Source organism: Homo sapiens, chromosome 2 (genome assembly GCF_000001405.40).
Source record: "Homo sapiens chromosome 2, GRCh38.p14 Primary Assembly".
Classification (NCBI taxonomy): Eukaryota; Metazoa; Chordata; class Mammalia; order Primates; family Hominidae; genus Homo; species Homo sapiens.
In genome coordinates, this window is record NC_000002.12 from 11,154,694 (window position 1) to 11,179,120 (window position 24,427).

Sequence of the window (24,427 nt, forward strand, 5' to 3'; positions counted from 1 at the left end):
GGCCCCTCAGGGCCCACGCCGCTAGGAGGGAAGCCTTCAGTCCCAGGCTGGAGACAGGCCGCGTGCTCTGAAAGGGCACAAATGAGGCGACCCTGGGGCTCTGGTCCCAGAAAGTCTCTCCAGCCTGGTTCCCCACCTGTAAGTCGGGAGGGTGCACTCAGCCCTTAAGCAGGAGGCTTTAACTCCTGAAATGCTTAGTGAGAGAAACTAAAACACTTGCAGGGAGGGAAAAATCCCGGCAGAATGGCCCATCCCCCGGGGCCATTTGCCTCTCGGTCCACCCAACCCGTGGAAAAGCCGGACTTCCAGGGCGGCTCCCGGCGGCGGCTAAACTATCGGGTGGCAAGAACGCGGAAATGCGAAGCAGCTGCTGGTGGAGCCCGCAGGCCAGGGTGGGACTGTCGCCCGGGGCGGGGCTAGGAGGGGAGGGGCGGGGCGAGGAGGGGCGGGGCGAGGCGAGGTTGGCCACGGGATTGGGCTAGGTGAGGCCGACCGGGAGGGGGCGAATCTGGGGGCGGGGCGAGATGAGGGTAGTCCGAGGACTGAGCGAGCCCGGGCGGGCCCGTAGGCGAGGCGAGATGAGGCTGGCCAGGGGGCGGGGCGGGCCCGGGCGGGAGGGGCGGGGCGGGGCGGGCCCGGGCGGGAGGGGCGGGGCGGGCCCGGGGGCGGGGTGCGTCCAGGGGAGGGGCGGAGCGAGGCGGGTCCGGGGCCTGGCGGCGCGCGGAGGGGCGGGCCCTGGCCGGGTGGTCCCGGGCGGATCCCGGGAAGGCGGAAGGCTTCGGCAGAGCTGCGCCGCCGAGGCTGAGCGGTCCCTTCTCGCTGCGGCCGCCCAGGTGCCCGCGCCCGTGGCGCTATGGAGGCGGCGCTGCTGGGGCTGTGTAACTGGAGCACGCTGGGCGTGTGCGCCGCGCTGAAGCTGCCGCAGATCTCCGCTGTGCTAGCGGCGCGCAGCGCGCGGGGCCTCAGCCTTCCGAGTTTACTTCTGGAGCTGGCAGGGTAAGGCCCGGGGCGGCCGGGGCTGCCTCCTGCCCCCTCGCAGCTGCTGCCGGCTGGGAGCCCAGGAGAGCCTCGGCTCGAAGTAGGGCGGGGATGATCCCCGCGCGCCGGCGTCGCAGCTGGGCGGCCGAGGGTGAACTAGGGAGCCTAGGGGCTCGGGGTGCTCTTCCCACGGCCACCCGCCACCCGCGTACATTGTTTCTCACCAAGCCCCGCGTGGCACGAATTGATTGCGCACGCCCATTTTACAGATGAGAAAACAGACCCAGCGGAGGCAGCCCTTGGTGCGCTAGTGACAAAACCTGCTGGCCCTGAGCAAGGCCATTTGCACCTCGAGGCTGTCATATTCATTGTCCCTAAACTCACCACGCACCGTCAACCTCGTTCTCGGGCCTCGGTTTCCTCACCTGTGAAATAAGGGGTTGAACTAAGAATGTATGAATCTCTTCTCTTCTCCCGGTGATTGGTGGGGAATCTTTCCTGGTTATTTAATGAGATTCCTTGGGAGAGGGTCTTAAGACAATTGCATTTCTTGTAGAAAGAAGTTTCCTTAGTCATCTGTAAGGAAGTTGGAGAGTCTCTGCAGTTGGGAAGGGGTGACGGAAAGGTCGTTAAATCCTTGATTCTGAGGCAGCTTCTAAGGCTTTCCTATTCAAAGTATTCATCATGCCAGAGCGCCAAACTTTTGGGGTATCATTTTTGAGCCCCAACAATAGGAAAACACATACCTCAACCTAGTGGTCTCGCCCCTTCCCCCTGGCCAGGCCAGGCCTTCCCCTTTGCCCCCCGCCATCACCCAGTGGGGTCTGAAGCCTGGTCCTCCACACAAGCCTTCCTGGTGGGCGGGGTGGGGGGTGCGGCATACAGGATGGGAAGAAGCCAAGGGGTGCGGGGGAGAAAGAGGAGACCTCAGGTGTGGGAGGGTGAGGGGTCCCACTCAGGCTTTGGACCCCGCGCCGGCCCTATGGAGCCCGGCCCTGGGCACAGTCATCCAATAGGGGGCTTTGAGGGGAAATTTTTGGGAAAGGCTTGCAGTGGGAGGGACTGTGACCTCTTCCAGGCTTGTGAGTGACTCTACCCTGCGGGGTGGGGAGGGGGGGGTCCCAGGCTGGATGGCAGGGTTGAGAGGCACCCAGGGGAGGTGGGCAGCATGCGTTTCAGGTTGGTGCCACCACCAGGCTGGGAGCAGAGAGGCTGGAGCGATGAGGTTGTGGCAAAGGACACAGGCTGGAAGTGGCTGTGGTGACTGTTCAGGTGGGAGAGGGGACAAGGGCATGAAAGCCAGGAGTGGGATTTGGCCTCGGCCCCTTGCTAGGTCCCTGAGCTGGGGAAGCTGAAGCTGGACCCATGAAGGAAAAGAAGCCAGGCTGTCTGTAGAGTCTATAGATTCCCTCCTGCCGCCAGCCCCTAGGCCTGCATTTCCACCACTTTTGCAGCATTGCTTGAAAAATGCAAACCCTCAGAGATACGCAGGTGAGGGCTCCTATTAGATCTGCCAGCTGTCACCTCTCCCAGCTCACCTTAGTGAAAGCTAGACCTCTGGCAGTGGAAGGATCTTCCTGGGCATGGGAGCTCAAGGGTTGGGTGGGGCAGCAGCTTGCTGCCATCCCTGCTGGCCTGTCTAAGGGTCTTGCAGTTGATCACGTGCAGGTAAAGGGGGCTCTGTCGGGGCTGGTGCACCAGCTCTGCAGCCTCCAAGCCAGGGCCAGGGCCAGGCACACAGACTTCTGTAAAATGGGCTTGGCTGTGTCAGGACCCATCCTCCTGGCCCTCCTGTCTCCCTGCCTGCCTCCCTCATGCCCTTCCCAGCCTTGCCTGGGAGGCCCACCTGGGGCTGGCCATGCTTGCCAGCTGGGCCCCCGGGCCCCTGACCAGATCAGGCAGCAGCCGGAGTTAGAGCAGAAGGAACCCCAGGGCTGTCGCAGTCAGCCACCTGGAGGGCACGGGCCCTCTTTGGGTCTCCATTTGAGCAAACTAAGAGCCTGGTTTTGAGAGCACTGAGTCAATTGGAGCATGAAGTGTGTCTTAATAATGCCAGAAAAGCCTTTTTAGTGTGGCTTGGTGTGAAGGGCAGGAGCCTCTGCCCAGGGACCTGCCTCTGCCACCCAGGGGCATTCCTTGTAGCTGGAGCCTTCCCCCTCGCAAGTTCCCAACCTTGCTGCTTCTCCTGCCTCCAGGGCTCTGCTGGGCTCTGCCTCCCTGCTCTCTGCAGCCAGGAGCCTCCTGGAGCACAAGATTCATCCAACCTGCCCTGCCTGCAGCCTTCCATGGACTGCGGCCCTCCCACGGTGGACCCTTAGGCTGTAGAGCCTTGGCCTCTGGGTAGGATGCCTTTGGAGCCCACCCCTTGCTCCAGGTCACTTGTCCCCCAGCCTGGGTGGGGGTACGTTTTGTTTAACCCTCTAGTAGGTGTTGAGGGAGAAAACTCCAATGGCTGCATGGAGCAGATGGGAATGGAAACAAATGGGGCTGTGTCAGATGCCCGGCTGGCATGATTTTATTATGATAAGCACTATAGCGATTACTTATTAAAAGAAACTTTAAAGGGACAGGCATGGTGGCTCATGCCTGTAATCCCAGCCCTTTGGGAGGCCGAGGCGGGCAGATAACCTGAGGTCAGGAGTTCAAGACCAGCCTTGCCAACATGGTGAAACCCCATCTCTACTAAAAACACAAAAATTAACCAGTGTAGGCTGGGTGCAGTGGCTCACACCTGTAATCCCAGCACTTTGGGAGGCCCAGGCCGGCGGATCACGAGGTCAGGAGATCAAGACCATCCTGGCTAACACGGTGAAACCCTGTCTCTACTAAAGATACAAAAAATTAGCTGGGCGTGGTGGCTGGCGCCTGTAGTCCCAGCTACTTGGGAGTCTGAGGCAGGAGAATGGCGTGAACCCGGGAGGCGGAGCTTGCAGTGAGCCGAGATCGTGCCACTGCACTCCAGCCTGGGTGACAGAGCAAGACTCCGCCTCAAAAAAAAGAAATTAGCCAGGTGTAGTGGCACACATGTAGTCTCAGCTACTCGGGAGGCTGAGCAGGAGAACCGCTGGAACCCGGGAGGTGGAGGTTGCAGTGACTGAGATCGCGCCACTGCACTCCAGCCTGGGCGACAGAGCAAGACTCCATCTCAAAAAAAAAGAAACATTAAAAACTAAAGGAAAGACACTGTCCCCACCCCACCTCCCCAGGCTGCAGGGATGGGGGGAGTTTGAATCCCAGGGAAAGCAGGGAGTAGACGGCAAAACCTGCAGGGGCAGCAACGGCTGCATCCAGATCAGCCTCGGGAAATCCAGGCTCTTCATCTTGTATGTTCTTGGTGTCTATGGGCCTCCATTTCCCCAAGTGGTCTGTAAGTTGTGGAGGCCAGCATGGATGACCCCTGAAGGTGAGAACGGGCTCTGACATCCCCAGGTTCTCAGGCCTGGCCTGTGGACTGTGGCTGCGTCCCAGGGGTCAGCACACACTTACTTCGATGGTGAAGACCCCCATAGCTTTTGTTCTTCAGCACTCAGTGGCTGGCTGTGGCCCCACAGAGGGGCTGGGGTGCAGCCTCCCCCTCTGCCAGCCCCCCTGGGCTCAATCTCCCAGGGGAACAGAGGGGGCTGCTCAGGAGGCTGGCAGGAGGAGAGTCCCTGCGGCAGGGCAGGGCAGAGGCACCGCTTGTCCCTGAAGCTGGGAGGTGGCTCAGCTGCACAGCACCCGGAGGGCCTGCAGGCAGCTGGGGGTGGGGACCCTGCTGGGCACGGTGGGGGCCCGCACTCGGGGACCAGGCCTGTGGGAGGCCCTCGTGCTCAGGGCAACACTGTGACCTCCTCTGACTCCGCCCCCAGCTAAGTTGTGCACTGTCAGAAACAGGCCAGGGAGGCACAGCCTGTTTGTGAATCGGACTTTTCCAGGATTCCTTCCCAGCTTAGGAGATTGGAGACCCTGGGGGGCCCCTCCTGTGTGTTGAAGTCCCATGGTTCCGGCTCCCCTTTCTTCCTGACCTGAGTGGTCTGAACACACAGGTGAGAGGGAGGGAGCCAAAAAGCTGGGTGATGAGACAAACAGGTAGCCCCAGGAGACCACAGGGATTCCGGTCCTGAAGGGAGATGGCTGGGTGTGAGGGGGAGGCAGGAAGCTCTGCCTTTTCTTCTGAGAATGTGGGACCCTGTGGCCTTCGCAGCATCCTCACAGCCGGAGTCTTCTTAGCGAAATTGAGGGTGGTTCTTCACGCTTTCCCCCACTGCCCTCTCAACCGGGCAGCTCTTCTGGAAGGCAACTGGACCATCCAGGTGCTGTTCTAACTCTAAAAACACGGCCACAGACCCCCGCATCCAGGGATGGTTGCGGCTCCTCGGATCCTTGCGCCTCTGCAGCTTCTCAGAGTGGAGGGCAGATGTGTGCAGCAGCTGAGGGGCAGCTGCCGGGGTCAGTGGGAGCCCAACATGGCAGGCAGGCCAGAAGCGTGGGCCCAGAAGGCCCAGTCTCATATTCTTGCTCAGGGATTTGCCTTCTGTAAAAATCCTTTGTAAGCGACCATCTCAAGGCACTCTATAGAGATCGTGGGTATTGCACTGTGGCCCGGTGCCCAGTAAGTTCTGGATGCTCCAAAAATTGTACAGATGATTCAACTGAATTCCATCTATTTTGTTCTAAACCTTCCTCTTTGACACTGGCGTGTCCACACCCCCACTGCAAGGATTCGGCAAACTGACCTCAGTGTTCTGGTGCCTGCCAGGCCCCGACAGCTGCGTTTTGGGGCAGCCGTGTGGACATGTGCCCTTCTCTCTCCAGATTCCTGGTGTTTCTGCGGTACCAGTGTTACTATGGGTATCCGCCGCTGACCTACCTGGAGTACCCCATCCTCATCGCGCAAGGTAACAGCCCCTTCCCTGTCCAGCGGACTGCCACGGGTCTCCCCTTCCCCCCTCACTCGGAGCCTCTCTCTTTCAGATGTCATCCTCCTGCTCTGTATCTTTCATTTTAACGGGAACGTGAAGCAGGCCACTCCTTACATCGCTGTGTATCCTTTCTGAATCTGAGCCAGAAGTGGGAACGGGGATGTTATTTGTGAATGGTATGCATTGTGAAGCAGGCTCCTTTACCAGATGTGTATTTTTTGGTTAAACTAAAAAAAAAAAAAAAAAAAATCCCAAATGCAAACGTGTCCATGTACACCAGAGATGCCCTCAGTACAGCCCCTGCTGCTCCTCCGAGACCAGCATGCCCTGGGCGGTGCCAGCAGGCCGAGTGGAAGGCAGATCGGTAGAGTCCACCCCTGCTAAGAGCAGCATCGTCCAACTGCATTAGTTCATGTGAGACATTTCTTCCTGCCCTGATAATGTCCTCCGAGGATTGGAAGCAATAATAATGAGAGTATCCGGCGCCTCTCAAGACGTTAGCTTAGAGGCTAAACCTTGAGGTCTGAGGGGCAGTTGTTGGCCCAGAGGCTTGCAGTGGGAGCCTGGTCAGCTCAGAGACCTGTTCCTGCTCAGTGGCACTTCCTGTGAATGAGGGTGAGGCTTCATTTCAGTTCTCTTTGTAAAGACTCACTAGTTGAACGTCACACTCCTTAAAAAGCCAGGAGAGTGTTTTTTTTTTTTTGTTTCATTTTTGGTTTTTATTTTGAGACGGTCTCGCTCTGTGGCCTAGGCTGGGTTGCAGTGGTGGGATCAAAGCTCACTGCAGCCTTGACCTCCTCGGTCAAGCTTGATTGCCTTGATCAAGTGATCCTCCTGCCTCAGCCTCCCGAGTAGCTTGGACTATTGAAGAATGCCACCACACCCAGTTAATTTTTAAATTTTTTGTAGATACGGGGTCTCACTATGTTGCCCAAGTTACAAGATGTTTTAACCTTTTTTTTAAGAGACAGGGTCTCACTATGTCACCCAGGCTGGAGTGCAGTGGCTGGATTAGAGCTCACTGCAGCCTTGAACTTCTGGGGCCAAGGAATCTTCCCGCCTCAGCCTCCTGAGTAGCTGGAGCTACAGGTGCATGCTACTATGCCCAGCTAATTAAAAAACATTTTTTTTAGAGATTGGGTCCTGGTATGTTACCCAGACTAGTCTTGAACTCCCGGACTCAAGCGATCTTTCCACCTTGGCTTTCCAAAGTGCTGGGATTACAGGCATGAGCTGCCACTTCTGGCCCAAGAAAGTGTTTTGAATGGCACTAGCTGTCAGCCTGTCCTGCCACATCTGTGAAATGGCTTGAGCTGTTTCTTCCCATGCCCTCTTCAGAGTGGAGGAAGGAGGGCAGAGCCAGGCCTGTGGCCCGCAGGCCATGAGAATGTGGGTGTGGAGTGGTGGGAAGCAGTTGGCCTGGAGCCAGACAGGACAGGTCCCTGCCACCACAGGGGTGGCTTCAGCATACACCATAAACTGTGCGTCCCCCATCTGTGACATGGGATCATAATGCCTATGTTTTAGGGTTACTGTAAGAGCTAGAAGTACCAGAAACACAGTCAAGCAGAGTAAATGACAGGGCCATTGTGGTGGTTTTACTAGAGGCGAGGCTCTGCAGCCTGTGTCTATGGAGGGAGCTGGGTTCTGGCTGAGTCCTGACCCTCTGCTGTTTCCCCGAGTGGCAAGCTCTGCTGCCTCAGTTTCTGTCTGCGGAAAGAGGGATCGCACAGCTGTACTGCACCTCAACACTTCACGGTCAGTCCCAGCTGGTTAAAGGTTTTGGTAAACAGTACTTTGAAGATGAAAAGAGTTACATAATTTACTTTTGAAATAAAATGCAACAGCTTTGTGAAGATAGTGAGGCTGCAGATTAGAAAATTTGGGTGCTGGTGGCACTGGGAGATACCACATGGCTGGATGCTGATGGCGAGTCTGTAGTATCAGCAAGATGCTTATAATCTCCCATTGGTTGTGACTTACGGAGAGCGAAAGAATAGGGTTACCATATTAATGAATACTTTTATTTTTATTTTATTTTATTTTATTTTTGAGACGGAGTCACACTCTGTCGCCCAGGCTGGAGTGCAGTGGTGCCATCTCAGCGCACTGCAAGCTCCGCCTCCCGGGTTCACGCCATTCTCCTGCCTCAGCCTCCCGAGTAGCTGGGACTACAGGCGCCCACCACCATGCCCGGCTAATTTTTTGTATTTTTAGCAGAGACGGGGTTTCACCATGTTAGCCAGGATGGTTTCGATCTCCTGACCTCGTGATCCACCTGCCTCAGCCTCCCAAAGTGCTGGGATTACAGGCGTGAGCCACCGTGCCCGGCCTAATGAATACTTTTAAATATTGCTTGGGATATACTTCTACTGATAATTATTGGCCAGGTGTAGCGGCTCATGCCTATAATCCCAGTGTGTTGGGTGGTCGAAGTGGGAGGATCATTTGAGGCCAGGAGTTTGAGACTAGCCTGGGCAACATAGTGGGATTCCCTAGCGCTCCAAAAATATAAGAGAAAAAATGAGCCATGTGTGGTGTCTCATACCTGTCATCCCAGCTACTTGGGGAAAGTTACTTGTTTTCGACCTGAAATTAAAATTTAACTGGGTGTCCTGTACTTTTATTTGTGAAATCTGGCAACCCTACAAATAAATCATCTGTAGGATCTCAGGAGCTCCTACTATTGGTCAAATTTTATAAAATGTATATTCAGAATACACAGAATGAGGTGGGATAGAACAGAATTGGTGGGGGGAGGAGTCACAAAAATTAGATTTAAAAATTGAGTTAGTGTTTTAAAAACAGGATTCTATCCAGCCAGCTTCGAGCTACCTTCTGGTGTTGATCAGGCTGTGAGTATTTAGTTCCACTGACTTTTAGCACAGGGCATTGTCTGTTTCAATATCTTCATTTAATTAATGTTTGAAATTATAATAACAGCAGTCTCTTGAGTCGGTGCTACGTGCTTGTAGGCATTTTACAGATAAGCAAATCAAGGTGGAAAGATGGAAAGTGACTTGCCCAAGGGCACTCCAGAGACTCTTGGCTGTCCCCTTCCAGCCCTGGCCGCTGTCTCCTGGGTGCTTGTTCAGCTCCCTAGCTGGCCTCTATTCCCGTGGCGTCACCGAGCTCGGTGCACATGCCTGACTTCCAGCATTGCCCACCCCAGCTGTATCATTTTTACAGTGGAGTTTGTGGGGAAAGGTGGAAGTCAGTAAACAGAAATTCACATCACAGCAATTTTGCAGAACATTCCTGCTTTATAATGTTGGACTTCTCCTTTAAGTGCTTAGCTTTTGACCATAAATCAGAGAAGTCTGCATGGTCTAGAATTCAGTGGGCAGTGAAACCACTAGGAATGTTCCCAATCCTAGGGAGCAGTCCATGAGCGTGGGTGTCTTTGTATTTCTCTTCTGTAACCTGTTTTCGTTCTTTTGAATTCTGAGCAGGTGTTCACTTGCGACCCTTTTCGTCCCTTCCAAATCCGGCAGGTTCTGGTAGCATGTCCTCCCCTCCCACCCACCTGGCTTCTGCGTGCCGCTGTCTGTGGTCTTGGTTTGTATATGTGAGATGGGAGGGTGGCGCGGATGTGGGTGACCCACTGCTGTGTCCCTTAGCACTTGGTAAGATTGGTGTCTTCTTGGTTCATCCTTGCCCTGCAGAAGTGGATCATAGACCTGGCCATGGTAAGTATTATGCTTGAAAAGAAAGTAGGAGGAATAAGCTACCTTGGAGAGAACTTGATAGATATTTATATATATATATATATATTTTTTTTTTTTTGAAATGGAGTTTCACTCTTGTTGCCCAGGCTGGAGTACAATGGCGCAATCTCGGCTCACCACAACCTCCACCTCCTGGGTTCAAGGGATTCTCCTGTCTCAGCCTCTCGAGTAGCTGGGATTACAGGCATGTGCCACCACACCCAGCTAATTTTTTTTTTTAATTGATTCATTTTTGTTTTCTTTTTTTTTTAGTATTTATTGTTATTCTTGGGTGTTTCTTGCAGAGGGGGATTTGGCAGGGTCACAGGACAATAGTGGAGGGAAGGTCAGCAGATAAACAAGTGAACAAAGGTCTCTGGTTTTCCTAGGCAGAGGACCCTGCGGCCTTCCGCAGTGTTTGTGTCCCTGGGTACTTGAGATTAGGGAGTGGTGATGATTCTTAACGAGCCTGCTGCCTTCAAGCATCTGTTTAACAAAGCACATCTTGCACCGCCCTTAATCCATTTAACCCTGAGTGGACACAGCACATGTTTCAGAGAGCACTGGGTTGGGGGTAAGGTTATAGATCAACAGCATCCCAAGGCAGAAGAATTTTTCTTAGTACAGAACAAAATGGAGTCTCCCATGTCTACTTCTTTCTACACAGACACAGCAACAATCTGATTTCTCTATCTTTTCCCCTTTCCCCCTTTTCTATTTGACAAAACCACCATTGTCATCATGGCCCGTTCTCAATGAGCTGTTGGGTACACCTCCCAGACGGGGTGGCGGCCGGGCAGAGGGGTCCTCACTTCCCAGAAGGGGCGGCCGGGCAGAGGCACCCCCCACCTCCCGGACGGGGCGGCTGGCCGGGCGGGGGCTGACCCCCCACCTCCCTCCTGGACAGGGCGGCTGCCGGGCGGAGACGCTCCTCACTTCCCAGACGGGCTGGCTGCCGGGCGTAGGGGCTCCTCACTTCTCAGAGGGGCGGCTGCCGGGCAGAGGGGCTCCTCACTTCTCAGACTGGGCGGCGGGGCAGAGGCGCTCCCCACATCTCAGACGATGGGCGACCGGGCAGAGACACTCCTCACTTCCTAGACGGGATGGTGGCCGGGAAGAGGTGCTCCTCACTTCCCAGACTGGGCAGCCGGGCAGAGGGGCTCCTCACATCCCAGACGGGGCGACGGGGCAGAGGCGCTCCCCACATCTCAGACGATGGGCGACCGGGCAGAGACGCTCCTCACTTCCCAGACTGGGCAGCCGGGCAGAGGGGCTCCTCACATCCCAGACGATGGGCGGCCAGGCAGAGACGCTCCTCACTTCCCAGACGGGGTGTCGGCCGGGCAGAGGCTGCAATCTCGGCACTTTGGGAGGCCAAGGCAGGCGGCTGGGAGGTGCAGGTTGTAGCGAGCCGAGATCACGTCACTGCACTCCAGCCTGGGCAACATTGAGCACTGAGTGAACGAGACTCCATCTGCAATCCCGGCACCTCGGGAGGCCGAGGCTGGCAGATCACTCGCGGTTAGGGGCTGGAGACCAGCCCGGCCAACACAGCGAAACCCTGTCTCCACCAAAAAAATACGAAAACCAGTCAGGCGTGGCGGCGCACGCCTGCAATCCCAGGCACTCGGCAGGCTGAGGCAGGAGAATCAGGCAGGGAGGTTGCAGTGAGCCGAGATGGCGGCAGTCCAGTCCAGCTTCGGCTCGGCATCAGAGGGAGACCGTGGAAAGAGAGGGAGAGGGAGAGGGATCCCCAGCTAATTTTTGTATTTTTAGTAGAGACAGGGTTTCACTGTGTTGGCCAGGCTGGTCTCGAACTCCTGACCTCAGATGATCCACACGCCTCGGCCTCCCAAAGTGCTGGGATTACAGGTGTGAGCCACGGCAGCTGGCCACTAGCAGTTTTAGAATGAAGAATTGAGCATCAGTTAACTAGCTTCTTCTTAGGTTCATAATGGCATGTTGGCCTTGTCCTGGAGAGGGGCTGACTTTTTTTCATACTTGGCTCAGGGCCGAAAATTTCCAAGGGCTCCTGAGGGTGGTTCAGGATGTGTTTGACCACAGACCTCTCCAAGGTGACAGAAGTGAACGTTTCTACCCAACGAGAAAAGGAGGAGAACTAACTGGTGGTCACAGGGCACTGCCTGCCACACGCAGACTCATGAATTTCTTTCCCCTTTCCCCCAACATCTTGTCTGGAAAGTAGACTAGATTCTCTGTTACATTTCTGTTACATTTCAACCCTGTGACTTGGGAGAGCAAATAAGTAGGGTTGCCATATTAACAAGGAACACTTTTTCAGTACGTGTATGTCCAAAATACTGCATGGGTCGAGGTGGGGTGGCTCACGTCTGGAATCTCAGCACCTTGGGAGGCCGAGGCAGGCAGATGACCTGAGGTCAGGAGTTGGAGGCCAGCCTGGCCAACAGGCGAAACCCTGTTCTCTACTAAAAGAAAATACAAAAATTAGCCATGCATGGTGGCGGGCACCTGTAATCCCAGCTACTTGGGAGACTGAGTCAGGAGAATCGCTTCAACCCCGGAGGCGGAGCTTGCAGTGAGCCAGGATCACGCCACTGCACTCCAGCCTGGGTGACAGAGCGAGACTGCATCTCAAAAAACAAACAAAATATTGCATGGGACATACTTGTACTAAAACATTATTTGTTGTTGTTCTGAAATTTAAATTTAACTAGATGTCCTGTATTTTTGTTTGCCAACTCTCACAACCCTGTAAATGAGCCATCTCTATGTTCTCAGTAGGTCTTACTACTGATGAGTTGGGGTGGTTCTAGTTCTATTAGCCCCCATACAGCAGCTGTGAGCCTTCACCCCTGAGGAAACATCCTTCTAGCAGTGTTGAGATACAGGCTTGTCAAGAATGGAGGGATGTGGTGGCTCATGCCTGTTATCCCAGAGCTTTGGGAGGCCGAGGCGTGCAGATCACCTGAGGTCAGCAGTTCGAGACCAGCCTGGTCAAAATGGCGAAACCCCGTCTACTAAAAATACAAAAATTATCTGGGTGTGGTGGCGCATGCCTGTAATCCCAGCTACTCGGGAGGCTGAGGCAGGAGAATCGCTTGAACCCGGGAGGCGGAGGTTGCAGTGAGCCAAGATCAAGCCATTGCACTCCAGCCTGGGCAACAGAGCAAGACTCCATTTCAAAAACAAAACAAAACAAAAGAATCAAGTTCAGGGGTCAAGGGCAACAACAGCTTTTAGGTGTTTGTTCTGTGCCCTTAGCAGTAGTCATCTATTCTAACTATAACATTGATGATATAACATTTCATGGAATATAATTTTGATTCTTTCCTTTATCATGCAAGGGCTGAACACCAGGCTCCGTGCTGTGTCTGCCCATAGCCCTCCTTCACTGACTCAATGAGTGTTCCTCACGCACCTGCTCTGAGGTACCAGGGTCCGGGGCACAAGGTGGCCCAGATCTGAGGGTCGTGGAGCCCCAGTGCAGGAGAACGAGCAGGGCCTTCAGAGCTCACACATGGTAGCAAAACCCCAGAATCCTAGAGAGGAGCGGGTGCTGCTTGAATCAGTGGAAAACCTCCATTGTAGAATGTTCCATTTTTTTGGCTTTCAAATGCAGGTACCCGAGATCGTTCCCCCAGAGGTCCTAAACTGTGCTTTCATGGTTAAATTGATAATTCATATACTCATAGTTTATTCACAAGAAAATGATTAAAGTACTTAAAAATGATCTGCAAGGCCGGGTGCGGTGGCTCACGCCTGTGATCCCAGCACTCTGGGAGGCCGAGACGGGCGGATCACAAGGTCAGGAGATCAAGACCATCCTGGCTAACACGGTGAAACCTCGTCTCTACTAAAAATATATAAAAAAAAATTAGCCGGGTGTGGTGGCGGGCACCTGTAGTCCCAGCTACTCAGGAGGGTGAGGCAGGAGAATGGCGTGAACCCGGGAGGCAGAGGTTGCAGTGAGCCAAGATTGAGCCACTGCACTCCAGCCTGGGTGACAGCAAGACTCTGTCTGAAAAAAAAAAAAAAGCTCTCCGTGACAGCTAAGCATCCCTTCTTTCCAATCCTGTTCCTGGATTAGACTGTTTTACAGAAAAACTTCATAGTCTCCAATTGAATTAATGTGATAAGACATTCCAGGGCTTGGTTGGGGCCCAAACCAACACTACTTCAGGACTGTAAAAATAGCTTTGTTCCTGAAAGATGAATCTGGTAGAATATCTAGCAGGCAAGCTTGTGTTTAACACGAGTGTGTTGTAATGTGGTCTGGGACCCTGATGTGTGTGAACAAAGCCAGCTTCCCCAGCTCTTCCCATTCCGCACCGACTCCTCGCCACCCCGCCGAGCCTGTGTTCTGGCTGGTTCTCTGGTGCGAGCCCTCCCCTGCAGTCCTCCCTCCTCTGCTCTGTCCAGGTCTCCTGATTGCACAAGAGCCCCTCTCCTCACAGGTCTCCCTGCCTGGGGCCAGCCATCCTCCGAGCATCTGCACCCAGCTCTCAGGGTGACTTTAGTCCTGCCACAGGCCTGACCACAGGTTCTTGGTCAACTCCTCTGCCCAAGAGCACTCCCTGCGGTTCCCTTCTCCATAATTCCTTTTTTTTTTCTTGTGAGACAGAGTCTGACCCTGTTGTTCAGGCTAGAGTGCAGTGGTGTGATCTCGGCTCACTGCAACCTCTGCCTTCTGGGTTCAAATGATTCTTGTGCCTGAGCCTCCTGAGTAGCTGGGACCACAGGCACACGCCACCACGCCTGGCTAATTTTTATATTTTTTGTAGAGATGGGGTTTCACCATGTTGGTCAGGCTGGTCTCGAACTCCTGGCCTCAAGTGATCCTCCTGCCTTGGCCTCCCGAAGTGCTGGGATTACAGGCTTGAGCCACTGCACCCTGCCTCCCTTCTCCATAATTCTTCCTTGTCCAAGTGACGCCTTCTCTCCTCCCAAGTCATCCTGGATGCACCTTTATCATCACGTTTGCCAGACTGCATTATTATTAAGGATTTATTCCCTCAGCAAGGATTTGTTGAGTGCCGGCCAGGTGCCAGCACTGTCACAGGTCCTGGGGACCCAGCAGGAAACAGACCGAGTGTTCCCCATGAGCTTTCCTTCTCCAGGGGAGACAGAAGGTAAACAAGCTGCTCTTGTCAAGGCCAGCGGCTTTCATTCGCGCCAGAGCCTGTGGCCAGTTCTCATTCCTCTTCTTCATTCATATCTCGGTAGCTTTTGACACCATCGATCAGGACTCCTTCTTGAATCACTGCCCACCGGGCTTCCAGGAAGCCGTGCTCCCCAGTGTCCCTTCCCCTTGATCCTTTCTGTGTCCTTGCTGGTTCCTCCTCAGCTCCCTGACTTCCGTGTTCCCAGGGCTCCAGCACACACCGCACAGCCAACCACTGGCTACCCTTGCCTGACGACTGAGCCTCTCCAACCTCGCGTGTCCAGAACTGGGTTTCTGATCTCCCACCCTGCCCCTCTCCCACCTTCATCTTAATGTGTCTCAGTTAATGGGAACTCTGTTCTTCCACTGCAAAGGCCAGAAACACCGGAGATTAGAATCACCCTGGATTTCTCTCTTTTTTTTTTTTTTTTTTTTGAGACAGAGTCTTGCTCTGTCACCAGGCTGGAATGCAGTAGCATGATCTTGGCTCACTGCAACCTCCACCTCCTGGGTTTAAGTGATTCTCCTGCCTCAGCCTCCCGAGTAGCTGGGACTACAGGCACGTGCCACCACACCCAGCTAATTTTTGTGTTTTTAGTAGAGATGGGGTTTCACCATGTTGACCAGGACGGTCTCGATCTCTTGACCTCGTGATCTGCCCGCCTCGGCCTCCCAAAGTAGTGGGATTACGGCGTCAGCCACTGTGCCCAGCCAGATTTCTCTTTTTGCCACATCCCATTACCACTCCCTCAGCAAATCCTGTTGGCTTTGCCTTTGAAATATATCCGGAACCTGAACACTTCTCACCTCGTCTGTTTCTACTGCCCTCGTACAAACCCAGGTGACTGCACTAGCCTAACTGGTCTCCCAGGTGTCACCTTGTCTCCCTTCGGTCTACACTCAACCCAGAGACTGGAGTTTCAGCTGCTGAAGAGGCTGATGCTGGCAGGGCTGGTGGTGGTCAGCGTCGAGGATGCTGTGCAGAGCAGCAGGCTTATTTGTGAGGATCTCTTACCTCACTGTATAGCAGAGGCCTGAGCGCACCACCACACAGACTATCAGAATAGCCAGAAATTCAGGGCTGAGGTGCCGCGGCTTGCTGCTGGAGTTTGTTTGTCAGTTCAGAACAGCATAGATTTCCCCAAGCTCTAAAACACAGTATCTCAGTACTTTTTTTTTTTTTTGAGACGGAGTTGCACTCTGTTGCCAGGGCTGGAGTGCAGTGATATGATCTCAGCTCACTGCAACTTCTGCCTCCCAAGTTCAAGGGATTCTCCTGCCTCAGCCTTCCTAGTAGCTGGGATTACAGGCGCCCGCCACTACACCCAGCTAATTTTTTTGTATTTTTAGTAGAGACGGGGTTTCACCATGTTGGCCAGGCTGGTCTCAAACTCCTGACCTTGTGATTCGTCCGCCTCAGCCTCCCAAAGTGCTGGGATTACAGGCCTGAGCCACCGCACCTGGCTCCTCAGTACTTACTTCTCATTGGAGGTGTAGATAGATGAACCTCTGTGGCCAAGCATTGATTCTTTCTCATTCCCAACTTCAAACTAGCTCTGGCCATTAGTTACCCACTGCACGGTGGAATCTGTGAGTTATAAATAAATGTCTTAGTCTGGGCATGGTGGCTCACACCTGTAATCCCAACATTTTGGGAGGCTGAGGCAGGCAGATCACCTGAGGTCAGGAATTTGAGACCAGCCTGGCCAATGTGGCGAAACCCTGTCTCTACTAAAAATACAAACATTAGCCAGGTGTGGTGGCACGTGCCTGTACTCCCAGCTACTTGAGAGGCTGAGACAGGAGAATTGCTTGAACCTGGGAGGTGGAGGTTGCAGTGAGCCAAGATTGTGCCACTGCACTCCAGTCTGGGCAACAGAGTGAGACTCTGTCTTAACTAACTAACTAACTAAATAAATGTCTCACTATTCCATTCTTTTTCACCAAACTTAGGTTTCAACTTTGTACAAATCCATTATTATTTTGACACTCCAGCCTGGGTGACAGAGTGAGACTGTCATAAATAAATAAATAAATGTCTCACTATTGCATTACTTTTCACTAAACTTAGGTTTCAACTTTGTACAATTCCATTATTATTTTGACCTGAAAATTTGGCTTCAAAAATGCTTTGAGTATCTCGTGCTCTTTTGCTTTTTTTTTGAGATGGGAGTCTCACTCTGTCACCCAGGCTGGAGTGCAGTGGCACGATCTCAACTCACTGCAAGCTCCACCTCCCGGGTTCATGCCATTCTCCTGCCTCAGCCTCCCGAGTAGCTGGGACTACAGGCGCCCACCACCACGCCCAGCTAATTTTTTGTATTTTTAGTAGAGACGGTGTTTCACCGTGCTAGCCAGGATGGTCTCGATCTCCTGACCTCATGATCTGCCTGCCTCGGCCTCCCAAAGTGCTGGAATTACAGGTGTGAGCCACCGCACCTGGCCTCTTTTGCTTTTTTAACAAATCGACTCGTGACTTTCTCACATTTTATCTGCAAACAGAATCTATGTACTTTCATCAGCGCGGCCAGTAAGTTTGCACAGCTCCAGTGTCTGTGGAAGACGAGAGACTCAGGAACTGTGAGTGCGCTGACTTGGAGCCTCTCTTCCTATACCTGTGCAAGTAAGAACCGGACTCACATGGTGGGGAGGCCTTTGGTAGCACCAAGTGTCTACGTAGTAGGGTGTTAAGTTGGTGTTGAAGTAACATGGTCCCTGGCGCTTTACTACTTTACAAATGGCTACTCAGCTAGAACCTCCTAAGTGTATCCATGTTTACAAAGATGATTTAATGCAAACTGCTCTCCATTTTCTGTAAAATCCAAGTTGCCAAGAAAAAAAAAAGTGAAAGCCTATTTTTCTCCAAAAACCTGGCCTGATATTAATTAGCTCTGTCTTCTTTGAAAGGATAAAGAGGTTGATTATATTGAATGTACTAATTTATCTTAAGAATTTGAATATAACAGGTTTTAAAATATGAAAATCATACAGTGGCTTTTGAGAATGAATGAAATGTGTAGTGATGGAGATTTTCGGCAGCCACATTGTTTGGTCTCAACTTTAGAATTTTCACTCTTCATTTGGATTCTTACAAAAACTACCTAAAATACATATATGGTATATGTAGGTAGAAACATTTTTATAATTCAGAGCTATCACATTAGTTGGATTTACTAGTTTTAGATATTTTAAGTAGACTTCATCATGGTTCTTCTGCATCTTAAAGGGCTAATGTCTCCATCCATGGTTGCTGGTCTTTATATTCAACAAGTTACTTGTCTTAATTATGTCTTAAAATCAAGACTTTCTTTCTTTTTTCCTTTGACAGGGTCTCGCTCTCTCTCACAGGCTGGAGTGCAGTGATACGATCTTCACTCACTGCGGGTTTCCAAGTAGCTGGGAGTACGAGCACACACCACCACACCTGGCTAATTTTTAATTATTATTATTATTATTTTGAGACACAGTCTCGCTCTGTCACCCAGGCTGGAGTGCAGTGGTGCAATCTCGGCTCACTGCAACCTCTGCCTCCAAGGTTCAAGCGATTCTCCTGCCTCAGCTTCCTGAGTAGCTGGGATTACAGGCACACGCCACCATGCCTGGCTAATTTTTGTATTTTTAGTAGAGACGAGTTTTCACCATGTTGGCCAGGCTGGTTTTGAACTCCTGACCTCAAGTGATCCACCCGCCTTGGCCTCCCAAAGTGCTAGGATTACAGGCATGAGCCACCGCGCCCAGCCAATTTTTTGTAGAGAGGGGTCTCACTATGTTGCCAAGGCTGGTCTCAAACTACTGGGCTCAAGTGTTCATCTCACCTCAGCCTCCCAAAGTATTGGGATTACAGGTGTGAGCCACTGCACCTGGCCCTGTATGTTTTCTTTGGAGAAATGTCTGTTCACATGGTTTGCCCATTTTTTAATTGGGTCATTTGAGTTTCTTACATATTCTGGTCATTAACCCTTGTCAGATGTGTGGTTATTAACAGCCTTTTAAAAAGTTTGTCTGAGAGTCCTTTGTTGGCCGCCTTCCTAACTGAAGTCTTCTGTCTACTTATATGATTGAATTCTTTTATTTAAATGATGATTTAATCAACAACTATTTATGTGGTGTCTGTGTGTAAAGTCTTGGTTTATCAAATGTGTCAACAAAACATTTTATAGGATTTGGCCTCTGCCCTTCAGGGGCTTGCAGTTTAGTTGGAAGGTAGACCAAAAAACTTCTATGTCAATATGTGCTAAATGCAGAATGTGTTAGCAGAGAGTTTTGACAGGCTGGTTTTGGGCTAGGAAAGGCATGCCTTGAGCTGCAGGCAGTGGTCTTCTCTAACTCCCAAGTCACGCCACTCCCTGCTCTTGTGTGTCGGTTTAAACTGTTACTCCAATTTCCTAAATGTTTACTAAGTAAAGGGCTATGGCACACAAATAAACTAAACAAAATAGTTCTAGTTAGACCCTTGGAAAAATCTTCCCCTTTTCTGGGCCTCAGTCTGTTTATCTATAAAATGCAAGGATAGAAACCAGTGATTCGAAAACATTTATTGTTTGTTTTTTGAGACAGAGTTTCGCTCTTTCGCTTAGGCTGGAGTGTAGTGGCATGATCTCGGCTCACTGCAACCTCAGCCTTCCGGTTTCAAGCGATTCTCCTGCCTCAGCCTCCCAAGTAGCTGGGATTATTACAGGTGCCCGCCACCACACCCAGCTAATTTTTGTATTTTTAATAGAGACAGGGTCTCACCATGTTGGTCAGGCTGGTCTCGAACTTCTGACCTCATGATCCACCCGCCTCAGCCTCCCGAAATGCTGGGATTACAGGCGTGAGCCACTGTGCCTGGCCAAAACATTGTTTTTAATTAGTGGGAGCCTTTCTTTAAATAAAACTACCCAGATGCTCAATTTGTAAATGAGAGTTGCTTTTGGAGGGTTGGGGGTTGCAGGTTAGCACAGAGACAGTGGAAGGGAGCTCAGTCTCTCCGGCCTTCCGCAGGCAGCGCTCGAGTACCTTCTAGGTACCTTCCCTCATGAGCAGTTTCAAAACCATTGGGCCATTGGGGTAGGATGCATGGCTGTTTTTTGTTTTGTTTTGTTTTGTTTTTGAGACGGAGTCTGGCTCTGTCACCCAGGCTGGAGTCAATTGGCGCAATCTCAGCTCACTGCAACCTTTGCCTCCCAGGTTCAAGCGATTATCTTGCCGCAGCCTCCTGAGTAGCTGGGATTACAGGCGCCCGCCACTACACCTGGCTAATTTTTGTATTTTCAGTAGAGACAGACAGGGTTTTGCCATGTTGGCCAGGCTGGTCTCGAACTCCTGACCTCAGGTGATCCGGCATGGCTAGTTTTTATGTAATTATGAAATACAGCACTATTTGGTTTTCTGTACTACCAAACTCTGTCAAGAATAGTTAATATATGTTGTTAAAAAAAGAATAAAAATAATTTAAAAATAATGGTTAATATATATTGGGATATTAAAAGGGAAAGACATTATTAGCTAAGCCCCAAAATGTCCGAGAGGCAAGTTACTTATTGCTGCAAGTTTTCTTTTACAGCAAGAATAATCACAACCTTAATGACCACCAATGATTTTACAAGTAAGCAAAATATCTTCTCACTTCCTTTTTGAGTTTTGTGCTATTTGTGTCTCCTTCATTTGTAAACTGTCTTAGGGTTTAATGGATGGACTTGGCTCTGTTGGATTATAGATTTAGAAGATGGCAACAATGTATTCCTAGTCTTATTGGTCACCATTTTTATTGTTAAGCCTCTCCTTCTTATAGTACAGGGGATAGACTATGCACAAGACAATAGATTCCTATCTCCATGGAACTTCCACTTAAGCAGTGGAATTGGACATGAGGTAATCACACAATTCCCTATTGAATTCTAATGGGACATGGTTTGGAAGAGTAGGGCAGGATGAGCATCTAAGGAGAACCTGGCCTAGTTTGCAGGAGTTGGGCAGATTAATTTGAAGAAGAGTGATCGTAAGGATGAGTAGAGGTTTAGCCAGAGGAAAGGATGTGGGCGGAGGCCAGACTCTTAACAAGGAGCAGCATTGTGAAGGTCATGAGCGAAGGACAAAGGGCTAGAGTGCGGAGAGCAGGGGGACAGTGACAAGCGGGTTTCAGGAGAGGAAGGATGCGAGACTGGCAGTGGCCCAAGTATCCAGGGCCTACAAGAACTGCCTACAAAACAGTAGGAAGGCTCTGGAGGCTTTGAAGCAGGGAAGTGGTGTCACCAATGGACTATGTTTTTGTTCTGTTTCTTTAAAAGAAAAAGCTGTCATGGAGGAGGAAATACTATGGTTAACCACAAAAGAATTTAGTAATTCCTTAGGCTGTTTTCAACTCCCAAATCAAGCATATATTATACATCTTTGGAAAATGATTAGAACAGATGGTGTCACCTGTGAAGATCAGAAAATGTCCCCAGCATGTAGACCTTTTAAATGAGCTAATTATTATTTGAGAAATAGTGCTTCAGAACAGAGATATGTTTGTTAGTCTCTTCCTGGAGGTTATACCTTTGCTCGAATACTTTTTGTCAGCTCTGATGATAGGACTAAAATTGTTCTGGTCAAAGCATAAACTTTGATCAAGTGGGAAATGGGAAGGAAGACAGGCTTGGGTCTTTCCACAGGACTTGAATTCTCAGCATGGAAAGGAAAGTCAAACCACAAGTAAACAGCAAAACCTATACATTAGAAATTAAAAGATCAAGATTGTTCTAATTGTGATTTATTTCTTATCTATGACAGCTGTTCTTGAAAGTGATCAGTATATCCAGGAATAACTTTTTTGTTGTTGTTTTGTTTTGAGATGGATTCTCACTCTGTCGCCCAGGCTGGAGTGCAGTGGTGTGATCTTGGCTCACTGCAACCTCTGCCTCCCGGGTTCAAGCAATTCTCCTGCCTCAGCCTCCAGAGTAGCTGGGATTACAGGCATGCGCTACTATGCCCAACTAATTTTTGTATTTTTAGTAGAGATGGGGTTTCACCATGTTGGCCAGGCTGGTCTCAAACTCCTGACCTCAGGTGATCCGCCCACCTCAGCCTCCCAAAGTGCTGGGATTACAGGCGTGTGCCACCGCGCCCGGCCTGGGAATAACTTTTTTTTTTTTTTTTTTTTTGAGACGGAGTCTCGCTCTGTCGCCCAGGCTGGAGTGCAGTGGCGGGATCTCGGCTCACTGCAAGCTCCGCCTCCCGGGTTCACGCCATTCTCCTGCCTCAGCCTCCCAAGTAGCTGGGACTACAGGCGCCCGCCACTACGCCCGGCTAATTTTTTGTATTTTTAGTAGAGACGGGGTTTCACCGTTTTAGCCGGGATGGTCTCGATCTCCTGACCTCGTGATCCGCCCGCCTCGGCCTCCCAAAGTGCTGGGATTACAGGCGTGAGCCACCGCGCCCGGCCAGGGAATAACTTTTTAAAAACAGTTCAGCTAAAATCTTACATGTGTTTTTCAAACACAAAGATATCTTAAATCTCATTAAACCTATTTATCAGGAGTGTATCCGTACCTTAAAGTAGAAGTTAAGTCACTGTTAAAGTTATATATATTTATTTATTTATTTTTCCACAAAGAGACACATTTTCATGGTTACTTGAATATAAAATATGCCTTGTCCTGTGGGCCAGTTTTTCAGGATGATCTTAACAGAGTATGTTAAACCACCCTTGCTTAATATGGAACGTTCTGAGACAGCAGCACCCTCAGGACGTCAGATGAGTAAAGGGATTTTTAAAAGTTATAACCCTTCTTAGGCTGGGCACAGTGGCTCACGCCTGTAATCCCAGCACTTTGGGAGGCCAAGGTGGGCAGATTACTTGAGGTCAGGAGTTTGAGACCAGCCTGGGCAACATGGTGAAACCCTGTCTCTACTAAAAATACAAAAAATAGCCAGGCGTGGTGGTGGGCACCTGTCATCCCAGGTGCCTGGGGAGCTGAGGCGGGAGAATCACTTGAACCCAGAAGGTGGAGGTTGCAGTGAGCCAAGACAGGCCACTGAACCCCAGCCTGGGTGACAGGGCAAGACTGTCTCAAAAAAAAAAAAAAAAAGTTAAAAGTTATAACCCTTCTTAGCCAGAGCCACATTACTGTCAATTGAGCACTTAAGATGATAAATTATTATTTATGAAGTTGGGCCAAGGGGCCAAAAATTGTCATGATAGGGAGATCATTTCCCCAGAAATAACTGGAACCAAAATTGTTCATTTCGGAGGTTGGGGGTGAAGCTTTATTTAGGCTTATACTTTGAGCAGGAGGTGGTTTTGGTCTGTATTGTAAAGACAGTTTTTAATACACTTTTTTTTTTATTTCAGTTCTTCTACGTTTTGTGATCATGCTGGCTTTAAATATATGGGTAACAGTGACAGTACTTCGCTACCGGAAGACCGCTATAAAGGCTGAATGATGGATACATTATTCCTTCACACAGTGGATTTTGAGTAACTGAACCAAAGGAAAAAGAAGCTCTTTGCTAAATTAAGGTCTTTTATAAATTTAGTAAATCAGTTTATAATCTTTAAAGCCAAAGGTTTTTTTAGACTTGAAAGAAAGAGCCACTTAAATTCTTGTTTAAAAATACCAATTTGCCTCCTCCTTCCTCACTTCGTTAGGTTATGGTAGTGCTCAGACATCTGCAGTGTTGAGGCCAGTCACTGTTGGAAGTCATCCAAGAAGCCCATTTTGAGGCCATTTTGAGCCTTACTCTTAAGTTCTCTATGAAGAACTACATTGATTTGTTGGCTTTCAGAATCTTTTAGGAAATAAATCCTCTCCAGGACAAAAATGAACATGAATGGAGTGGCATTTTGTTCCAAGTCAGAGGTGGGCACCTATAATAAATGACTAGGGTTCACTTTCTGGGACTGATGTTTAATTGTAACACAGATACAACAGGGTGGCCTTGTTGTGTATAATACGGTATTATACCCGCATGTGCTCTAGCAAGGATACCAAGGCAAGCATACATGTAGCTGGCTTGAGTTTGTACCAAAACAGTCCTTCAACTTTGCACTGTGCCTTAAGTAATTACTAACAAAAGGTACTAGGATTAGCTGCAATCTCTACTTTCGATGAGGAAATCCCAGTAAGCTTTCTGATTCAAGTACAATGCTGCCATTTTTTAAAGGGCCACAACTATAGAATTACCACTGTTGGAATTTGGTACAAAATATGTTTTGTCTATTGAAAACATACACGGTAAATGGTGTTGTTAGGTAGGTTCTGTCCAGTTCTTAGGGACTTTTTTCACATTATAGCATTTTTACCCTAAACATGATGTTGAGATTATTATATACTGTATTTTCTTCTAAATTAACCCTAATGTTTAAAAACTCACTTTCCCCCTTTAATTGAAGGCATTGTTTTGTTAGATGCAGTAATGATGTTTACCAGAGATTATTGTTTCCTATGCAAAATAAATTTTCATATTTTGAATTCTGCTGAGTCTTAAAACTGTCAATCATTAATATGACTATTTTATGTAAGGTATAGTTTTTAAACAAACTGGTTAATCCTTTTAGAACTACTGCTTGGGACCAACAGGAAGAGAAACATGGTATCTAAAGACAAAATTATTCATTCTGTAGTTGTTAAAATTACAGATGTCATATTTTTAAACATGCAAGTTAATCTTTTTTCATTTGCAGTTATAATCTGACCATTAGCATCAATACAAATTATATGATTTTTAGTCCAACA

At 50.1% G+C, this 24,427-nt stretch overlaps 1 protein-coding gene across 8 annotated transcripts, besides 3 other annotated features; it reads left to right on the top strand.

Annotated features, from left to right (window-relative positions):
- Nucleotides 361-840: a silencer, noted in NCBI's record as "silent region_11170". NCBI's record gives its function as "represses an Ori minimal core promoter by ATAC-STARR-seq in GM12878 lymphoblastoid cells {active_cell/tissue: GM12878}" and the evidence as "EXISTENCE:reporter gene assay evidence [ECO:0000049][PMID:35858748]".
- On the top strand, nucleotides 774-24,163 carry SLC66A3 (solute carrier family 66 member 3). 8 transcript variants are annotated; one of them, NR_104231.2, is made up of 8 exons: nucleotides 774-996; nucleotides 5,773-5,855; nucleotides 5,932-6,001; nucleotides 9,511-9,568; nucleotides 17,232-17,352; nucleotides 18,058-18,131; nucleotides 20,275-20,316; nucleotides 23,044-24,163. NR_104231.2 is itself a non-coding variant. In NM_152391.5 (7 exons), exons 1-7 carry the CDS (start codon nucleotides 854-856, stop codon nucleotides 23,133-23,135), a joined length of 609 nt encoding a protein of 202 aa, NP_689604.1. In that variant the 5' UTR covers nucleotides 774-853; the 3' UTR covers nucleotides 23,136-24,163. The 8 variants fall into 8 exon arrangements, 7 of the variants coding, with proteins under 7 accessions (NP_689604.1, NP_001269639.1, NP_001269640.1 ...); NM_152391.5 differs by lacking the exon at nucleotides 18,058-18,131; NM_001282710.2 differs by lacking the exons at nucleotides 18,058-18,131; nucleotides 20,275-20,316.
- Nucleotides 951-1,190: a silencer, noted in NCBI's record as "silent region_11171". NCBI's record gives its function as "represses an Ori minimal core promoter by ATAC-STARR-seq in GM12878 lymphoblastoid cells {active_cell/tissue: GM12878}" and the evidence as "EXISTENCE:reporter gene assay evidence [ECO:0000049][PMID:35858748]".
- Nucleotides 3,851-4,099: a silencer, noted in NCBI's record as "fragment chr2:11298670-11298918 (GRCh37/hg19 assembly coordinates)". NCBI's record gives its function as "represses an EF-1alpha promoter that drives an FKBP-Casp9 reporter gene in an ReSE screen in HepG2 liver carcinoma cells {active_cell/tissue: HepG2}" and the evidence as "EXISTENCE:reporter gene assay evidence [ECO:0000049][PMID:32094911]".
- Nucleotides 24,164-24,427: the final 264 nt, after the last annotated feature.

What these genes read in the sequence shown, in the direction of transcription:
- SLC66A3 (NM_152391.5), top strand. Translation starts at nt 854, where the DNA reads ATGGAGGCGGCGCTGCTGGGGCTGTGTAACTGGAGCACGCTGGGCGTG. An exon ending in GGATCATAGACCTGGCCATG is followed by an intron (nt 9,569 to 17,231) that starts GTAAGTATTATG and finishes ATCTGCAAACAG; the next exon opens with AATCTATGTACTTTCATCAG. An exon ending in GACCACCAATGATTTTACAA is followed by an intron (nt 20,317 to 23,043) that starts GTAAGCAAAATA and finishes TTTTTATTTCAG; the next exon opens with TTCTTCTACGTTTTGTGATC.